Raw genomic sequence first — 19,745 nt, 5'->3', positions numbered from 1 at the left:
CCAGCCTGGGCGACAGAGTGAGACTGTGTCTCAAAAAAAAAAAAAAGGAAAAGAAAAATAAAAAGGTTAACAAGAGGGCCGGGCACAGTGGCTCATGCCTGTAATCCCAGCATTTTGGGAGGCCAAGGGTGGGCGGATCACCTGAGGTCAGGAGTTCGAGACCAGCCTGACCAACATGGAGAAACCCTGTCTCTACTAAAAATACAAAATTAGCCGGCATGGTATTACATACCTGTAATCCCAGCTACTCAGGAGGCTGAGGCAGGAGTATCTCTTGAAGCCGGGAGGCAGAGGTTGTGGTGAGCCGAGATCGCGCCACTGCACTCCAGCCTGGGAGACAAGAGCGAAACCCTGTCTCAAAAAAAAAAAAAAAAAGTTAACAAGAAAAAATACAAATTCAGAGGTCTGGTATTGATGTTTAAAAAAGGCAACTGCTTAAGCATTTCTATTTATTTGAACATCAGTCTTGGCCATTCAGCTGCATGTTGTTCATTATCCGGCAGACTCTCTCAGCCACCTCTGGGGACGTAAACTTAACCACACTGCACCCCTTGGACTTCCCGTTCTCCATTTCGATGTCAGTGTACAGCATGTGGCCATACTCGTTGAATTTGTCCTTTAGCATCTTCCATGTAAAATTGAATGGGAGATTTCTTACAAATATTTGGCATGCCTTCCTGGCCATGCCCAGGAGCATGGTCTCCTGCTCCACCAAGGGAACCTGCAAAGCTTCCAAAGTTGCCACACTCCATACCGATGGCATGGTCAAAGGTGGCACCGCCACTGCCACACATGGCCAGGCCCATGCACGTGAGGCTCTTGGCACCCATGTGCTCTAGGCCAGTGACCATGTGATCCATCATGGGGCCCATGTGCTCCAAGCCAGCCTCCATGCCTGCAAGCACCATGTGCTCCATGTTCAGGCCCACGTGTTCGATGGCAGGGCCAATGTGCTCCACGCCAGAGCCCATGTGCTCTATGGTCTGGCCCACATGGTCAATGGGAGCGGCCATGCGCTTGAGGCTGAAGCCCATGACACCTGGATAATTTATTAAAAATTTTTGTACAGACAGGATCTCACTATATTGTCCAGGCTGGTGCACCTTTTTTTTTTCCTTAAGCGTAAATTGGCCGGGCGCGGTGGCTCAAGCCTGTAATCCCAGCCCTTCAGGAGGCTGAGATGGGTGGATCACAAGGTCAGGAGATTGAGAACATCCTGGTTAACATGGTGAAACCTCGTCTCTACTAAAAATACAAAAAATTAGCCAGGTGTGGTGGCACACACCTGTAGTTCCAGCTACTCGGGAGGCTGAGGCAGGAGAATCACTTGAACCCGGGAGACGGAGGTTGTAGTGGCCCAAGATTGCACCACTGCACTCCAGCATGGGCGACAGAGCGAGACTCCGTCTCAAAATAAATAAATAAATAAATAGTAAATTTATTTATTCAACACAGGTTTACTAAGTACCTATTATATGCCAGGTGCTTTTCTAGGCACTGGGCATATGGCAAAAACAAAAACAAAAACAAAAAACAATCCAAAATAGATCAAGTTCTTACCCTTGTGGAGGTGACATTCTAGTGGGGGAGAAAGACAGTGCTGTACAGAAATACAATGACGGCTGGGCGAGTGGCTCACATCTGTAATCTCAGCACTTTGCGAGGCCGAGGTGGGAGGATCACTTGAGCCTAGGAGTTTGAGACCAGCCTGGGCAACATAGTGAGATTCCATCTCCAAAAAAAAAAAAAAAATTTAAAATTAGCTGGGTGCGGTGGTGCGTGCCTGTAGTTCAGATGGCTGAGATGGGAGGATCGCTTGAGCCCAGGGGGCTGCAGTGAGCTGCGATTGCGCCACTGCACTCCAGCCTGGGTGACAGAGTGAGACCCTGTCTCAAAAAATAAATAAATAAATAAATAAATAAATAAATAAATAAATAAATAAAATTAAAATTAAGGGAGTGAGCAGTGTAGAACCTTCCAGGCCATTTTCCAAAAGTTGGCTTTTGCTTTCTCTTCTTGAAGATCCATTTGTGTCTCAATGTGTGCTGTGCCCAGTTCTCAAGAGCAGATTGCTACACTTTTGGGAATTTCACAAACCAGTTGTTAAACATAGGTATTATTAACAATTAAATGATACAAAGTTACAGATAAATAAATTATGTTAAAAACAAATATAATAAATAGTTCAAATGCATTGCATCCTAATTGCTACATTTTTACTATTATCTATGCTCTCCAGGCTACTTATCTCTGCCTGGTGGAAATCCTGAGTGATAGTGGGTGGTTGCTTGTCTCTTCTGAATTCCACATCCAATGACATCCTATCAGTAACTAGAAATCAACCACAGTGGGAATATTTACACTGTAGAAATTGGCAAATGGTATAAATTAGGGCTGTTTCTTCCCTAGAGAGCTGGTGGTTAAATTAAAAAAAAAAAAAATATATATATATATATATTGGCTGGGCGCAGTGGCTCACGCCTGTAATCCCAGCACTTTGGGAGGCTGAGGCAGGCAGATCATGAGGTCGGGAGATCGAGACCATCCTGGCTAACATGGTGAAACCCCATCTCTATTAAAAATACAAAAAATTAGCTGGGCGTGGTGGCGGGCACCTGTAGGCCCAGCTACTCGGGAGGCTGAGGCAGGAGAATGGGGTGAACCTGGGAGGCAGAGCTTGCAGTGAGCTGAGATCATGCCACTGCACTCCAGCCTGGGCGACAGAGCGAGACTCCGTCTCAAAAAAAAAAAATTATGTATATATACACACACACACATATGTGTATATATATATATACACACACACACATATGTGTATATATATATATACACACATATATACATATGTGTATATACATACACATACACACATATGTGTGTGTGTATATATATATACACACACATACATACATATATATATATGGATGATTTTGCTCTGTTACTCAGGCTGGAGTGCAGTGGTGCAATCAGAGTTTACTGCAGCCTCGACCTCCTGGGCTCAAGCGATCCTCCCTCTTCAGCCTCCTGAGTAGCTGGGACTATAGGCACGTGCCACCACACCCAGCTAATTTTTGTATTTTCTTTGAGACAGAGTCCAGCTCTGTCGCCCAGGTTGGATGCAATGGTGTGATCTCAGCTCATTGCAACCTTCACCTCTTAGGTTCAAGTGATTTTCATGCTGCAGCCTCCCAAACAGCTCGGAATACAGGCACGTACCACCACACCTGGCTAAGTTTTGTATTTTTAGTAGAGACAGCGTTTTGCCACATTGGCCAGGCTGGTCTTGAACTCCTGGCCTCAAGTGATCTGCCCACCTTGGCCTCCCAAAGTGTTGGGATTACAGGCATAAGCCACCACACCCAGACAAATTTTTGTATTTTTTTGTAGAGACAGGGTTCTTGCTATGTTGCCCAGGCTGGTCTCAAACTCCTGGGCTCAAGCCCTTCTCCCACCTAGGCCCCCCAAAATGCTGGAAGTACACCATGCCCGGCCTGGTTAAGTATTTACCAGCACGCCAGTGCAATGCCTGTAAACGTGGCTCATTCTTTTCTACAGCTGTCTAGTGTTCCATAGCATGAATGGCCACAACATATTTTGCTGGTTCCTTCCTGGTATGTGCTTAGTTTGCTTCTAGTCTTTTGCTACTGCAAGCAGGGCTGTGGTGATTTTTCGCATGCAAGACAATAGCCGTGGAATAAATCCCTCAGAGAAGAACTGCTGTGTCAAAGGGTGTGGGAGGATCTAAAATTAAGGCCTTTTGCCTAATGGCTTTCCAGGGAGGCCGTACCAACTTCCACACCCACCAGCAAATGTGTGAGAGTGCAGAAGCTTCTAAACACAAACTTGATTGTGTCACTCTGCTGCTTAGACCCTTTGATGTTCCCCACTGATCCTGCATGAAGCCCTTCTCCCTTCAAGATACGATCCGGTGTTGGCCGGGTGCGGTGGCTCACACCTGTAATCCCAGCACTTTGGGAGGCAGAGGCAGGTGGATCACCTGAGGTCAGGAGTTCAAGACCAGCCTGGCCAAAATGGTGAAACCCTGTCTCTACTAAAAATATAAAAATTAGCCAGGTGTGGTGGCAGGCACCTGTAATCCCAGCTACTCAGGAGGCTGAGCTCAAGAATCGCATGAACCCGGGAGGTGGAGACTGCAGTGAGCTGAGCTCTTACCACTATACTCCAGCCTGGGCAACAGAGTGAGACTCCATCTCAAAAAAAATAAATAAAATGAAATTTAAAAAATGGCCAGGCGTGGTGGCTCACACCTGTAATCCCAGCACTTCGGGAGGCTGAGGTGGGTGGATCACCAGGTCAGGAGATCGAGACCATCCTGTCTAACACAGTGAAACCCCGTCTCTACTAAAAATACAAAAAATTAGCCAGGCGTGGTGGCGGGTGCCTGTAGTCCCAGCTACTCGGGAGGCTGAGGCAGGAGAATTGCTTGAACCCGGGAGGCGGAGGTTGTAGTGAGCCAAGATTCACCACTGCACTCTAGCCTGGGCAACAGAGCGAGACGCTGTCTCAGAAAAAAAAAAAAAAAAAAGAGTAAATTAAGCTATGATACGGGGTTGGAAAATTACAGCAATCTGGGAACAAAAGGAAGACAGTACTGGTGCCTCAGTTCCCCAGCTTAATTTTCCCTTTGACCTAGTGAATTCGGGGTCCTGAGATTCTACTTTGCTTTCACAATAGTCACGGCTTCTCCCTTTCTCTTGCAACTGAAAGGTGGCACCATGACCTCACCATGACCCCTTATAAATTTTGCATGGCAGCCACCCCGATGATCTGCTGTCTGTCCCCTGGAATGGGTCGTGTTCCTACTCACTTTTACACGGTCCCGCCTTTCCCCCTTCCATGAACCCTACTTCCCATTGCCGTATCAGTGGGCTGAATCCACTTGTCCCTTCCCTGGGTACGTTTGGTCTCTTTCTGTTTCAAGTGGCTGAAAACCTGATTGTAACTCTTCAGCGACATCAGGAATCGATGGGCTGGCTTCAGGCATAGCTGGCTCCAGGAGTTTGAACGCTGCCATGAGGCCCAGCACCTGGCCTGTCACTTTTGTCCTCTTCCACGTTATCACCTTCAACAGTGCATGCCTCTGTCAGGCTGTGTGTGTGTGTGTGTGTGTGTGTGTGTGTGTGTGTGTGTGTGTGTGTGTTTTGAGACAGGGTCTCACTCCAACACCTAGGCTGAAGTATAGTGTTGCAATCACAGCTCACTGCAGCATTGACTTCCCAGGCTCAGCTTCCCGAGTAGCTGGTACACAGCTACTATATTTTTTGTAGAGATGGGGTTTCGTCATGTTGCCCAGGCTGTTCTCAAACTCCTGGGCTCAAGCAATCCACCCTGCATAGCCTCCCAAAGTGCTGAGATTACAGCTATACTCAGGAGGCCGAGGCGGAAGAATTGCTTGAGCCCAGGAGTTCAAGGTTGCAGTGAGCTATGATCATGCCACTGCATCCCAGCCTGGGTGACAGAACGAGATCTTGTCCCTAAAAAAAAATTAAAAATTTTAAAATAATCATAAAAAAGAGAAAGAAAAAAATGTGACTCTCTCAATTAAGCTGTGAGACCTTGGCCAAGTCACATCACCTGTCTGTACCTCTGTTTACTCAGCTATAAAATGAGGATATTAATAGGACCCATTGGTTTGCTGAGAAGCTGTACCTCTGGGCTATAGTAAATGTTCGATAAACATTAGTTGTGGAGTCCTAATTCGGGAAAAGGAATCAGGCTGGCAGGACCAGGGGAAAGCGAAAAGATAAAGCAAATAAGTTTTTTTTTTTTCTGGTGAAACCCTGTCTCTACTAAAGATACAAAAATTAGCCGGGTGTGGTGGCATGTGCCCATAGTCCCAGCTACTCGAGAGTCTGAGGCAGGAGAATCGCTTGAACTTGGGAGGTAGAGGTTGCAGTGAGCCAAGATGGCACCACTGCACTCCAGCCTGGGCAACAGAGCAAGACTCCATCACAAACAAACTAATCTATCTATCTATCATCTATCTATCTATCTATCTATCTATCTATCTATCTATCTATCTATCTGTATGTGTGTATTGGTGGTGCACACCTGTAGTCCCAGGTACTCGGGAGGCTGAGATGGGAGGATGACTTGAGCTCAGGAGTTAGAGGCTGCAGTGAGCTATGATCTCACCACCACACTCCAGTCTGGGTGACAGAGTGAGACCTTGTCCCTTAAATAAAAATAATAATAGTAAAGTTTTTTGTTTTTTAATTGGCATTCGGGCCGGGGGCAGTGGCTCACACCTGTAATCCCAGGTGTGAAGCGTTCCATATTAAAATATATATATACAAAATTAGCCAGGCATGGTTGGTGGATGCCTGTAAATCCCAGTTACTCGGGAGGCCAAGACACAAGAATTGCTTGAACCTGGGAGGCAAAGGTTGCAGTGAGCCGAGATTGCGCCACTGCACTCCGGCCTGGGTGACAGAGTGAGACTCCATCTCAAAATAATAATAATAATAATAATAATAATAATAATAATAATAATAATAAATTGGCCCTTGGAAGAAAGCAGTTGTGTGGAATGTGTGTTGCTGATTTTCTCAGGCCATATGAGGCCCCCCACCACGGGGCTTTGGTGGTTGGAAGCATAAAGTTCCCAGGTCCTGGCCTCTCTCCTGGCTGTTTCATTCATTGGCTGTGGGACTTTGAGACATGGTTGCCTTGTCTGTGTCAGGATGGGATTAGCCTCCTCGGTTTCATGGGCCTCACTGGAGCCTCAGGTGTGCTTCTCACTGGAGCCCCTTTGCCCTGCCCCTCCCACCCCCAAAATGCCAGGGCTCTTCAGCTCTGGGAGGACTTTGTCCAGTTCCTGTTAATCAGCACCTACACTGCTCCTCACTCTGGGCTAAAGTGCAAATTCTAACACCTCTCAAATCCAGGCCCCAGGCCTCACACTTCTCTCAGAAAGGAGAAGTGGAGGTGGGACCTTTCATTAGCTAGTTTATTCAAGGGATGTCTAGGCCCAGGCGTCTGAGCTGGTAGCAGTGCCTCCCAGACTCAAAATGTCCTGGTCCTTCAGGCCAACTGCCCTCAGGGGTGACACCCACATAATCACTAGGAATGTGCTGTGTGATTGTATACTCTCAGAATTGGCTTTTTTTTTTTTTTTTTTTGAGAGGGAGTCTTACTCTGTTGCCCAGACTGGAGTGCAGTGGCACAATCTCGGCTCACTGCAACCTCTGCCTCCCGGGTTCCAGAGATTCTCCTGCCTCAGCCTCCCGAGTAGCCGGGATTACAGGTGCCCCCCGCCACGCCCAGCTAATTTTTGTATTTTTAGTAGGGACAGGGTTTCACCATTTGGCCAGGCTGGTCTCGAACTCCTGACCTCAAGTGATCCACCTGTCTGGGCCTCCCAAAGTGCTGAGATTATAGGCATAAACCACCACGCCTGGCCCTAGAATTGGCTTTATAGGGCCATGTCCTCTCAGCGCTTCCCCCCAAGGGCAGGCCTACGTCCCCTCAGACCCCCAAGGGCAGGCCTATGTCCCCTCAGACCCCAAAGGGCTGGGCCTGTGTCCCCTCAAACCTGAAACTGCCTTTGCAAAAATCTTTTTTTTTTTTTTCCGAGACAGAATTTCACTCTTGTCACCTAGGCTGGAGTGCAGTGGCACGATCTCGGCTCACTGTAACCTCCGCCTCCTGGGTTCAAGCGATTCTCCTGCCTCAGCCTTGAGAGTAGCTGGGATTACAGGCATGCACCACCACACCCAGCTAATTTTTGTATTTTTAGTACAGACAGGGTTTTACCATGTTGCCCAGGCTGGTCTCGAACTCCTGATCTCAGGCGATCCACCTGCCTCGACCTCCCAAGTGTTGGGATTGCAGGTGTGAGCCACCGTGCCTGGCCCACTTTTGCAAAAATTATATCAGTAAGAAAAATTATAACAGTAAGCTAAGCTAACCCATACTTCATCTTGCCTTTCCCTTCATTATTCCTGGGCTATTGGGCCAAACTTTGGAAGACATTTAGGGTACAGTTTAAATAATAGGCTTTGCCCAAAACTCAACCGCTTTTGTAAAGTTAATGGGAGGTCATCAGGCTGCGGGGAGGAGAGGACCCTGAGTACTGCTAAGGCGCAGACATAAAAGATTATCAGCCATTATCCTGGAGGTTAGAAGATAGGCTACTGCCCCAATAACACCGCTGTTGTAGATTGGCCTTTTGAGATATCTGATCCTTCAGACCCCCAGGGCAGGCCTTAGACCCGCCAGGGTAGGACCCTGTTCCCTCAGACCCCCAGGGCAAGGCTATTTCACAACCTCCCCCTCCACGCCCATAGGGCTATGTCCCTTCAGAGGCTGCATTGTATGGCCTGACTCACATCTGACTAGGGCTCTCTAAAGCAAAAAGTAACAATCACAGTCATAGGCCCCCCAGCCCCTAATATACTGATCTCATGGCATTGCCCAGACCTATGCTAAGGTTTTCTTTACTGCTGCTGGCACATCTGGGGTAGGTATTACTTTCATCCTATTTCAGAGATGACCCGAGGTTCAGAGATGGAATCCGTTACCCAAGATCATCTAAGAAGTAGGGGGGTGTCAGGCGTGGTGGCTTACACCTGTACCTGTAATCTCACTACTTTGGGAGGCCGAGGTGGGAGGATCACTTGAGGTCAGGAGTTTGAGACCAGTCTGACCAAAGTGGTGAAACCCCGTCTCCACTAAAAATATAAAAATTAGCCAGGCATGCTGGCGTGGGCCTGTAATCCCTGCTACTCGGGAGGCTGAGGCAGGAGAATCACTTGAACCCGGGAGGTGGAGGTTGCAGTGAGCCGAGATTGTGCCACAGTACTCCAGCCTGGGTGACACAGCGAGACTCTGTCTCAAAAAAAAAAAAAAAAAAAAAGAAGAAGCTGGGGAGGCCCATCTCTCTGCCTCCATTTCCCCCTCAACCATTGTCTTATCCTGCCTCCTAGGAAGTATTGAATGTCTTTCCATCCAGGTCACCTGAGCCCTGAAATACCTGTAGGTTCCCAGGCTGGGACCTTGCTGTGGTAGGGAAACAAGTCCCCACCTTGGCTGGATTTTGGGGGAGGTGGGGAGGGCAGTGCCTGCCACCCCAGCTTTGGGCTTCAAGGCTCAGAAACCTGAGTTACCTTTTTTTTTTTGAGACGGAATCTCGCTCTGTCGCCCAGGCTGGAGTGCAGTGGAGCCATCTCGCCTCACTGCAAGCTCCTCCTCCCAGGTTCACGCCATTCTCCTGCCTCAGCCTCCCGAGTAGCTGGGACTACAGGCTCCTGCCACCACGCTCGGCTAATTTTTTGTATTTTTAGTAGAGAAGGCGTTTCACCACGTTGCCCAGGCTGGTCTGGAACTCCTGGTCTCATGTGATCTGCCCACCTCGGCCTCCCAAAGTGCTGGGATTACAGGTGTGAGCCACCACGCCCGGCCCTGAGTTACAATTGCACCAGGAGCCACTGGGGCCTGCCACCCTGCAGCTGGGGGAGACAGGGCTGAGCCGCCCAGACAGGCCAGCTCTTAAATAAACAATCAGGGAGGTAGGAAGAGAAGGGCAGGGCTGTTCTCCAGTTCCCCAGGCTGGAATGTGCAACGCTCCTGACATCTCCTCCTTTCCTTCCTGTTTCTTTCTCTTTTTTATTTTTAATTTAATTTACTTTTTAATTTTTTTAATTTTTATTTTATTTTATTTATTTATTTTTGAGACGACATTTCGCTCTTGTCACCCAGGCTGGCGTGCAATGGTGTGATCTTGGCTCACTGCATCCTCCACCTCCCGGGTTCAAGTGATTCTCCTGCCTCAGCCTCCTGAGTATCTGGGATTACAGGCGCCCACCACCACATCCGGCTAATTTTTTGTATTTTTAGTAGAGATGAGGTTTCGCCGTCTTGGCCAGGCTAGTCTCAAACTCCTGACCTTAGGTGATCCACCCACCTCCGCCTCCCAAAGTGCTGGGATTAAGGCATGAGCCACTGAGCCCAGCCTTTTTTTTTTTTTTTTTTTGAGATGGAGTCACTTGAACCCACTTCCTGGGTTCAAATGATCCTTCAGCCTCAGCCTCTGGAGTAGCTGGGATTACAGAGGTGAGCCAGTGCTCCCGGTCCTCCTTCCTATTTCTGAAAGCAAAGCATCAACCCACATTCCTGAAGACCCTTCTGTGTGCCTGGCCCCAGGCAGGGCCGTGCTTGGGACACAGTGGAGGTGGAGACAGCCAACCCCCACCCTCAGTCCAATGGAGGTGGCAAACCGTGGTCCCCAGACTTTGACCACTCAGGGTGGCCAGGGCTGGGATTAGGAGTCCAGGGGCCTGGGGGAAGCCTGGGGAGACACGTGACCCAGACTGGTGGACTCAGCAGATTCCTGAGTGGAAATGTGAAGATTCTGGAGAAATGAAGAGAAAAATGTGCGAGGAGGCCGGGCGCGGTGGCTCACGCCTGTAATCCCAGCACTTTGGGAGGCCGAGGCGGGTGGATCACGAGGTTGGGAGATCGAGACCATCCTGACTAACACGGTGAAAACCCATCTCTACTAAAAGTACAAAAATAAAATTAGCCGGGCATGGTGGCGGGCGCCTGTAATCCCAGCTATTCAGGAGGCTGAGGCAGGAGAATCGCTTGAACTTGGCAGGCGGAGCTTGCAGTGAGCCGAGATCGCGCCCCTGTACTCCAGCCTGGGCGACAGAGCAAGACTCCCTCTCAAAAAAAAAAAAAAATGTGTGAGGAAAGGAGTGACGTGGTGAGACTCATGGACCACAGAAGGCTTGGCACACCAGTGTTTCTCAAGTAATTTTGAACTAGAGACACCTGATCCACAACAGGATGTATACATTTCATGTATTTATTTTATGATTATTTATTTTATCTATTTATTTATTTATTTATTTGAGACAGAGTCTCGTTCTGTCGCCCAGACTAGAGTACAGTGGTGTGATCTCAGCTCACTGCAACCTCCGCCTCGCGGGTTCAAGTGATTCTCCTGCTTCAGCCTCCCGAGTAGCTGGGATTTCAGGGGACTGCCACCACACTCGGCTAATTTTTGTATTCATAGTAGAAATGGGGTTTCACCATGTTGGCCAGGCTGGTCTCGAACTCTTGACCTCAAGTGATCTGCCAGCTTTGGCCTCCCAAAGTGCTGGGATTACAGGTGTGAACCACCGTGCCTAGCATATTTATTTTATTTTTAGAGATGGGGTCTCGCTCTGTTGCCCAGGCTGGAATGCAGTGGTGAGATCACTGCAGCCTCCAATTTCTGAGCTCAAGGAATTTAATTTAGAGATGGGGACTTGCTGTGTTGCCCAGGCTGGTCTGAACTCCTAGGCTCAAGGAGTCTTCCCACCTCAGCCTCTCACTAGCAGGGACTTGGGTGCAAGCTACCACACCCTAGCTAGATGTATATTTTACCTGGAATGCAGTATGTGTGCAAATATGTATATAAATTAAGCAAAAATTTCACAAAATAATAATTACTTTTACAATGCACTCTGGTGTGTGTGTGTGTTAAGACTGAAGTTCAGTGGCACAATCGTACCTCACTGCAGCCTCGATCTCCTGGGCTCAGGTGATCCTCCTGCCCCTGCCTCCTGAGTAGGTAGGATTATAGTTGCATGCCACCACACCTATCTATTTTTTTAATGTTTTTGTAGACATGGGGTCTCACTACACTGCCCAGGCTAGAGTGCAGTGGCCCAATCATAGCTCATTGCAGCCTTGATCTCCTGGGTTCAAGCAATCCTCCTGCCTCAGCCTCCCAAGTAGCTAGGTTTTCTTGTCTTTTCAGCCTTTCATATTGAACCCATTGTTTTCTTTGGCCCTACTATACTCACTTCCTAGTGAATCTCCAACCAGTCCCATGAATTTACATACCCTGTATCCATGCATGGCTCCTGTGGTTGGCTGCCTAATAAACCTCAAAGATATCCTGGTCCCTAGAACCTGTGAATATTACTTTAAATGACAACAGAGACTTGGCAGATGTGAGTCAATAAAAGATCTTGAGATGGAGAGATGATCCTGGCCTAACTGGGTGGGCCGTAAATTAATCCCGAGTGCCCTTATAAGAGAGGGGCAGAAGGATATTTGACATAGAAGAGAATGAAGGCAGTGGGATGATGGAAGCAGAGAGATTTGAAGATTCTATGCTGCTGGTTTTGAAGATGGAGGAAAAGGCCATGAGCCGAGGAACACAGATGACCTCGAGAAGCTGGAGAAGGCAAGGATGTAGATTCTCCTCTAGAGCCTCCTAACAGAGCGTGGCCCTGCTAACGCTTTGGTTTCAGCCCAGTGAAACCATTTCGAACTTCACTCTCTGGATTTTTTTTTTTTTTTTTAAGAGAGGGTATTGCTCTGTCACCCAGGCTGGAGTGCCATGATGTGATCTTGGCTCACTGCAGCCTCTGCCTCCTGGGCTCAAATGATCCTCCTGCTTCAGACTCCCAATTAGGTGGGACTACAAGCATGAGCCACCATGCCTGGCTAAGTTTCGCATTTTTGTAGAGACAGGGTTTTGCTATGTTGTCCAGGCTGGAATCTCTGGACTTTTCAGAGAATAAACCCATGTAATTTTAAGCCTCCCACAACCTCCTGGGGTATTTATTAAATGCAGATTCTAGCAGTCCAGGAATCTTTTTTTTTTTTTTTTTTTTTAACAGGATCTTGCTCTGTCACTTAGGCTGGAGTGCTGGAGTGCAGTGGCATGATCTTGACTCACTGCAATCTCTGCCTCCTGTGTTCAAGCAATTCTCCTGCCTCAGTCTCCCAAATAGCTGGGATTATAGGCATGCACCACCACAGCCTGAGTAATTTTTGTATTTTTAGTAGAGATGGGGTTTCACCATATTGGCCAGGCTGGTCTTGAACTCCTGACCTCAGGTGATCCACCTGCCTTGGCCTCCCAAAGTGCTGGGATTACAGGGATGAGGCACTGTGCCTGGCCTGCTTTTTTTTCTTATGTGAAAGGAAAATAAATCTTGGGTCTGTCCCCAAAATCGCTAAGCCAAGGGAAAAGTTAAGCTGGGAACTATGTCAGACAAATCTGCCTCCCATTTTATCCCTAAATAAGATAGCTACAAAGATTAAAAAAAAAAAAAAGCTACATATCTCCCTCACAATTTGCCCACAAGGAAATTCCTTGTGAGCCTCAAGATTTTTACCCTAAAACAGTTCTGTTGAATTTCACCCTGGTCACATAAACTGATAGCTCGTCTTCACAGGTAGAAAGTCATCCCTCTGCTCATTTAAGACTAATGCATATCTGATTGCTTCCTCTGTCCTACTGTTTTTATTTATTTATTTATTTATTTATTTATTTATTTATTTATTTGAGAGGGAGTCTCGCTCTGTCGCCCAGGCTGGAGTGCAGTGGCGCGATCTCAGCTCACTGCAAGCTCCTCCTCCTGGGTTCACGCCATTCTCCTGCCTCAGCTTCCCGAGTAGCTGGGACTTCAGACGCCCGCCACCACGCCTGGCTAATTTTTTGTATTTTTAGTAGAGACGGGGTTTCACCGTGTTAGCCAGGATGGTCTCGATCTCCTGGCCTCGTGATCCGCCCGCCTTGGACTCCCAAAGTGCTGGGATTACAGGCGTGAGCCACCGCTCCCGGCCCCTACAAAAAAATTTAAGAAATTAGCCAGGCATGTTTGCGTGTGCCTATAGTCCTAGCTACTCAGGAGGCTGAAGCAGGAGGATAGCCTGAACCCAGGAGTTTGAGGCTGCAGTGAGCTATGATTGCGCCACTGAACTCCTGGCTGGGCGAGAGAGCAAAACTGTTTCAAGAAAAGAAAAGAAAAGAGAAAAAAGACAAGACAATACAAGACAAGACCTAAAGCCATTTCCTAGGTGGCAAACTGAGGCCAGAAAGGGCCTCTCTGCTCTGTGGGATCCAGCCTCTTCCTGGTCTCTCTCACCCCCTTCCTGGAGCCCCAGGCCTTTTTTTTTTTTTTTTTTTTTTTTTTTTCCAATGATGAAATCAGAATCTGGGTAGGAGGTTTGGCTTAGGGGGAGGAAAGCCGGCTGAGACCAGCTGGTATATTTTCCTCTCTAAGAAGCGGGAGGGCAGGGTGTGAGGCGTTCCAGGCAACATCATCCAAACCCTCAAACCATGCCCTCTTGGCTTAGACCCACCCCACATTCCCTGAAGGGTCTAGGATTCTGGGGTCTCCTGAGTCCTGGAGCCTCCTCCCTCCAACATCCCCCTGTCTGGCACCTCTAGCCCTAGAGTGGGTGGGCAGTGACTAGGCTGAGCCTGGCCTGTGCTCAAGTTGCCCAACTGGCCTGGGCCTCTTGTCCAAACCCTGGGGCGCTGATTACCTGGAGGGCTGCCAGAGCTTCCACACCGCAGCCCGGTCACCAGCTGCTGGGTCCCTCAGGGGCCTCTCAGGCCTCCCTTTGTCCAGTGGTCCCTGGGTCCTCAGGGGAAAAGCTCCCAGCTTGTGAATCTGTGCCCGGGGTATGCACTGGAAGCGATCTCTTTTCTTTTCTCTTTTATTTTATTTTTCGGAGATGGGGTCTCACTCTGTCTCCCACGCTGGAGTGCAGTGGCACGATCTCAGCTCACTGCAACATCCACCTCCTAGGCTCAGGCGATCTTCTCACTACAGCCTCCAGAATAGGTGGGACTACGGGCCTGCGTCACCACGCCCGGCTAATTTTTGTATATTTGGGGGTAGAGACGGGGTTTTGTCATGTTACCCAGGCTGGTCTCGAACTCCTGGACTTGAACTATCCACCTGTCTTGACCTCCCAACGTGGTGGGATTACAGGTGTGAGCTACCGCACTCAGCCTAGAAGAAATCTTTCTTTCTTTTCCGTTCTTTATAATATTTATCTGCAAAAAGTCGTCATAACTTAAAATACCATGGGGTTGTGATTTGCCGGGCACCAACCAAAGCACTCCATACACATGAACTCTGCTCACCCCTCCGTGATCTCCAAGGCAGAAGCTACAGTGATCCCCACTGCACAGCCCGGCAAACTGAGACAGGAGAGTTGAATGATTTGCCCAAGATCTTTCAGCTGCTAAGTGAGATCCAAGGTCAAGATGACAGATTTCAGGGTCCCGGCACCGAACTGTAAAGCCACAGCTTTCCTTCCTGAAAGCAAATCCTTTTAGCAGTTTCTGCAAATTCTTGAATAGTCAATGCATTTAAAAGAGATGCTGTTGGCTGGGCGCGGTGGCTCACACCTGTAATCCCAGCACTTTGGGAGGCTGAGGTGGGTGGATCACCTGAGGTCAGGAGTTTGTGACCAGCCTGACCAACATGGTGAAACCCCATCTCTACTAAAAATACAAAAAAAATTAGCTGGGTCTGGTGGCGGGTGCCTGTAATCCCAGCTACTCTTGAGGCTGAGGCAGGAAAATCACTTGAACCCAGGAGGTGGAGGTTGCAGTGAGGCAAGATTGTGCCATTGCACTCCAGCCTGGGCGACAGAGTGAGACTCTGTCTCAAAAAAATAAATAAATAGAAATAAAAAATTTGCTGGGTGCAGTGGCTCACGCCTGTAATCCCAGCACTTTGGGTGGCTGAGGTGGGCAGATCACAAGGTCAGGAGATCGAGACCATCCTGGCCAACACGGTGAAACCCCGTCTCTACTAAAAATACAAAAATTAGCCGGATATGGTGGCACACGCCTGTAGTCCCAGCTACTTGGGAGGCTGAGGCAGGAGAATCGCTTGAACCTGGGAGACAGAGGTTGCAGTGAGCTGAGATCACGCCATTGCACTCCAGCCTGGGTGACAGGGTGAGACTCTGTCTCAAAAATAAATAAATAAATAAAATAAAATAAAAATAAAAGATTAAAAAAATTAAAAAATAAAACAGATGCTGTGTTCATTTGCTTTTCCCCATTCTATACACACTTTCTCGCACCTTGATTTTCCCCTTTCTATTTTTTTTTTTTTTTTGAGACAGGGTGTCCCTCTGTCACCCAGGCTGGAGTGCAGTGGTGCAATCTCTGCTCACTGCAGCCTCAACCTCCCAGTCTCAAGTGATCCTCCCACCTCATCCTCCTGAGTAGCTGGGACCACAGACGTGCATCACCACGCCCGGTTAATTTTTGTATTCTTTCATAGAGATGAGCTTTCGAAATGTTGCCCAGGCTGGTCTCAAACTCTTTTTTTTTTTTTTTTTTTTTTTTTTTTGAGATGGAGCCTCACTCTGTCGTCTAGGCTGGAGTGCAGTGGTGCAATACCGTCCTCTGGGTTCAAGTGATTCTCTTGCCTCAGCCTCCTGAGTAGCTGGGATTACAGGTACCCACCACCATGCCCAGCTAATTTTTGTGTTTTTAGTGGAGGTGGGGTTTCACCATGTTGGCCAGGCTGGTCTTGAACTCCTGACCTCAAATGATCCACCCACCTCGGCCTCCCAAAGTGCTGGGATTACAGGCATGAGCCATTGTGCCTAGCCTCGAACTCTTGAGCTTAAGCGATCCTCCTGCCTCAGCTTCCCAGGTTGCTGGGATTACAAGTGTGTGCGCCACTGTGCCTGGCCTCCCTCTATACTTTTGTGACCACCTAATTTTTATTTTTTTAGAGACAAGGTCTCACTGTGTTCCCTAGGCTGGAGTGCAGCAGTGGCACGATCACAGCTCACTATAACCTTGAACTCCAGAGCTCAAGTGATCCTCCTGCCTTGGCCTCCAAAAGTGTTCGAATTATAGTTGTGAACCACTGATCCCAGCCTGATTTATTATTGCAATTTACCCTTCATTCATCTAATTCCTCACTTTTCCTAATGCATGCATACATACATATATATTTCCCTCCACAGCACTTTCTGCTTTGTGACAATAAGTTACAAGCCAGATAACCCACTTAGCCTACATGCATATTATGTTTAGTATTTATTGACCGTGTCCTGCTGCTAGAATATCAGTGCTAGCAGAGAAGGGATTTTCATCTGTTTTGCTCGTGTTTTTCTCATCTGTTTTTCTTTGCCTTTTTTTCTTTTCATGCTTTGTCGCCCAGGCTGGAGTGCAGTGGTGCAATCTTGGTTCACTGCAACCTCTGCCTCTTAGGTTCAAGTGATTCTCCTGTCTCAGCCACTCGAGTAGCTGGGATTACGGGTAGGTAGCACCACGCCCCGCTAATTTTTGTATTTTTAGTTGAGATGAGGTTTCACCATGTTGGCCAGGCTGGTTTTGAATTCCTGGCCTTGAGAGATCCACCCACCTCAACCTTCCAAAGTGCTGGGATTCCAGGAGTGAGCCACTGCTCCCGGCTCCTCATCTGTTTTTCTCAGTGTTTGATAAATATTGGCCAGATGAGTCATCACAACGATCCCATGTCAGCTCATGGGCATCCGTCTCCTTCTATTTGATGTCTCTCAGTCTTCTATTCTGTGGATGTGGTTTGTTGAATGAATGAATAAATGAATCACCAAGCGGACAGATGCCTAGCTGAAGAGTGGTTTTCATCCTGAGGGAGGCCACTGGGGCTGTTCAGAGAGTAGGGGTGGCCCAGTTAGATCTGTGCTTTGAAATATTCCAGACTCTTCTGAAGTCTGGGATTTTTTTTTTTTTTTTTTTTTTAGACAGAGTCTTGCTTTATTGCCCAGGCTGGAGTGCAGTGGTGCAATCTTGGCTCACCGTAACCTCTGCCTTCTGGGTTCAAGTGATTCTCCTGCCTCAGCCTCCAGAATAGCTGGGATTACAGGCGTGTGCCATTAGTCCTGGCTATTTTTTTTACTTTTTATTTTCAGAAGAGACAGGGTTTTGCCATGTTGGCCAGGCTGGTCTGGAATTCCTGGTCTCCAGCAATCTACCCGCATTAGTCTCCCAAAGTGCTGGGATTACAGGCGTGAGCCACCATGCCTGGCCAGAAGTCTGGGATTTTGCATGTGCTATTCTCTTTGTCTGGAATATTCTTTCCCTGGGATTGGTCCAACTCCTTCATATCCCAGCTCCGATGCCTCCTCCTCCAGGAAGCTCTCCCTGACCCCCAAGCCTGGTCAAGCATCCCTTCTGGGCTCCCCCATCCCAGCCCTGCCCACTCTGTATCATCACTATCTGTGTCCCCCCCTGAACTTTGAGTCCCAGCAGAACGGGGCCAGAACTGTCTTGTTCGCCACTGGGTCCCTGGTATCACCCATCGCAGGACCCAACACTGGGCTCAGAATACATGACTGTCCCTTGAAGGAAATGTCTAGTTGGAGACAGCCGAGTGCAGGGGTAGCCAGGGTGTCTGATAGGAGATGCAGACAAGGATCAGAAACATCTGAGTTCAGATTTCTTGCTTATGCCTGGGGTTTGGGCCACAGCAAGCCTCATTACCCTTATCTGCTTCCAAATCAGGAAAATGGGAGTGTGAGCTGGTCTCCTGGATTAGTGGGGATAAAACCATGTCTGTGAGCACTGCTAACAGAGATGGAAACCTCTCTGTTGCCTCAGGGCTTCACACGCGTCCTTTGAATGTTTCCACATTATGCCATGGGCTCCTTCTTATCTTTCAGATCTCAGTGCAGATGTCACTTCCTTCCAGTGGCTGAACTGTTCACTCTGTCACTCATAGGATGCTTTTGCTTTCTCCCAACGCTTAGTTCCAGCTGACAGCCCAAGTTTATTGTCTTGTCTCTTCCGCACTAGAATGCACGCTCTAGCAGCCAAGGATTTTGTGTGTGTGTGTGTGTGTGTGTGTGTGTGTGTGATACAGAGTCTGGCTCTGTTGCCCAGGCTGGAGTGCAATGGTGAGATCTCAGCTCACTGCAACTTCTGCCTCCCAGGTTCAAGCGATTCTCCTGCCTCAGCCTCCCGAGTATCTGGGATTACAGGCGTGGACCACCACACCCGGCTAATTTTTTAGTATTTTTAGTAGAGATGGGGTTTCACCATGTCGGCCAGGCTGGTTTTGAACTCCTGACCTCAAGTGATCCGCCCGCCTCGGCCTCCCAAACTGCTGGGATTACAGGTGTAAGCCACTGCACCCGGCCAAGCCCAAGTTTATTGTCTTGTCTCTCTGCACTAGAATGCAAGCTCTAGCAGCCAAGGAATTTTTTGTTTTTTTGTTTTTTTTTTTGATACAGAGTCTCACTCTGTTGCCCAGGCTGGAGTGCAGTGGTGTGATCTCCGCTCACTGCAACCTCTGACGCCTGGGTTCAAGCAGTTCTCCTGCCTCAGCCTCCCAAGTAGCTGGGACTACAGCCGCCCGCCACCACGCCCAACTAATTTTTGTATTTTTAGTAGAGACAGGGTTTCACCATATTGGCCAGGATGGTCTCCATCTCCTGACCTCATGATCTGCCCACTTAGGCCTCCCAAAGTGCTGGGATTACAGGCATGAGACACTGTGCCTGGCCTATTTTCATGTTTTTGTATTTTTAGTAGAGATGGGGTTTCACCATGTTGGCCAGGCTGGTCTTGAACTCCTGACCTCAAGTGATCCACCTGCCTTGGCCTCCCATAGTGATGGGATTACAGGCGTGAGCCACCGCTCCCAGCCTAAATCTTTTTTCCCTTTAGACTGAGTCTTGCTCTGTCACCTAAGCTGGAGTGCAGTGGTGAGATTACAGCTCACTGTAGCCTTGACCTCCTGGCTCAAGCGATCCTCCCGCCTCACCCTCCTAAGTAGCTGGGACTATTGGCGCATACCACCACACTCAGCTTATTTTTTAATTTTTTTGTAGAGACGGAGTCTCGCCATGTTGCCCAGGCTGGTCTCAAATTCCTGGGCTCAAGTGAGCCTCCCACCTTGGCCTCCCAAAGTGCTGGGATTAAGGGTGTAAGCCACTGTGAAATTTTTTTTTTTTTTTTTTTTGAGACGGAG

At 48.4% G+C, this 19,745-nt stretch overlaps 1 pseudogene; it reads right to left on the bottom strand.

Annotated features, from left to right (window-relative positions):
- HNRNPMP2 (heterogeneous nuclear ribonucleoprotein M pseudogene 2) lies at window positions 362–1,035 on the bottom strand (annotated as a pseudogene).

Source organism: Homo sapiens, chromosome 19 (genome assembly GCF_000001405.40).
Source record: "Homo sapiens chromosome 19, GRCh38.p14 Primary Assembly".
Taxonomy (NCBI): domain Eukaryota; kingdom Metazoa; phylum Chordata; class Mammalia; order Primates; family Hominidae; genus Homo; species Homo sapiens.
This window is presented reverse-complemented; position numbering and strand designations above follow the sequence as displayed.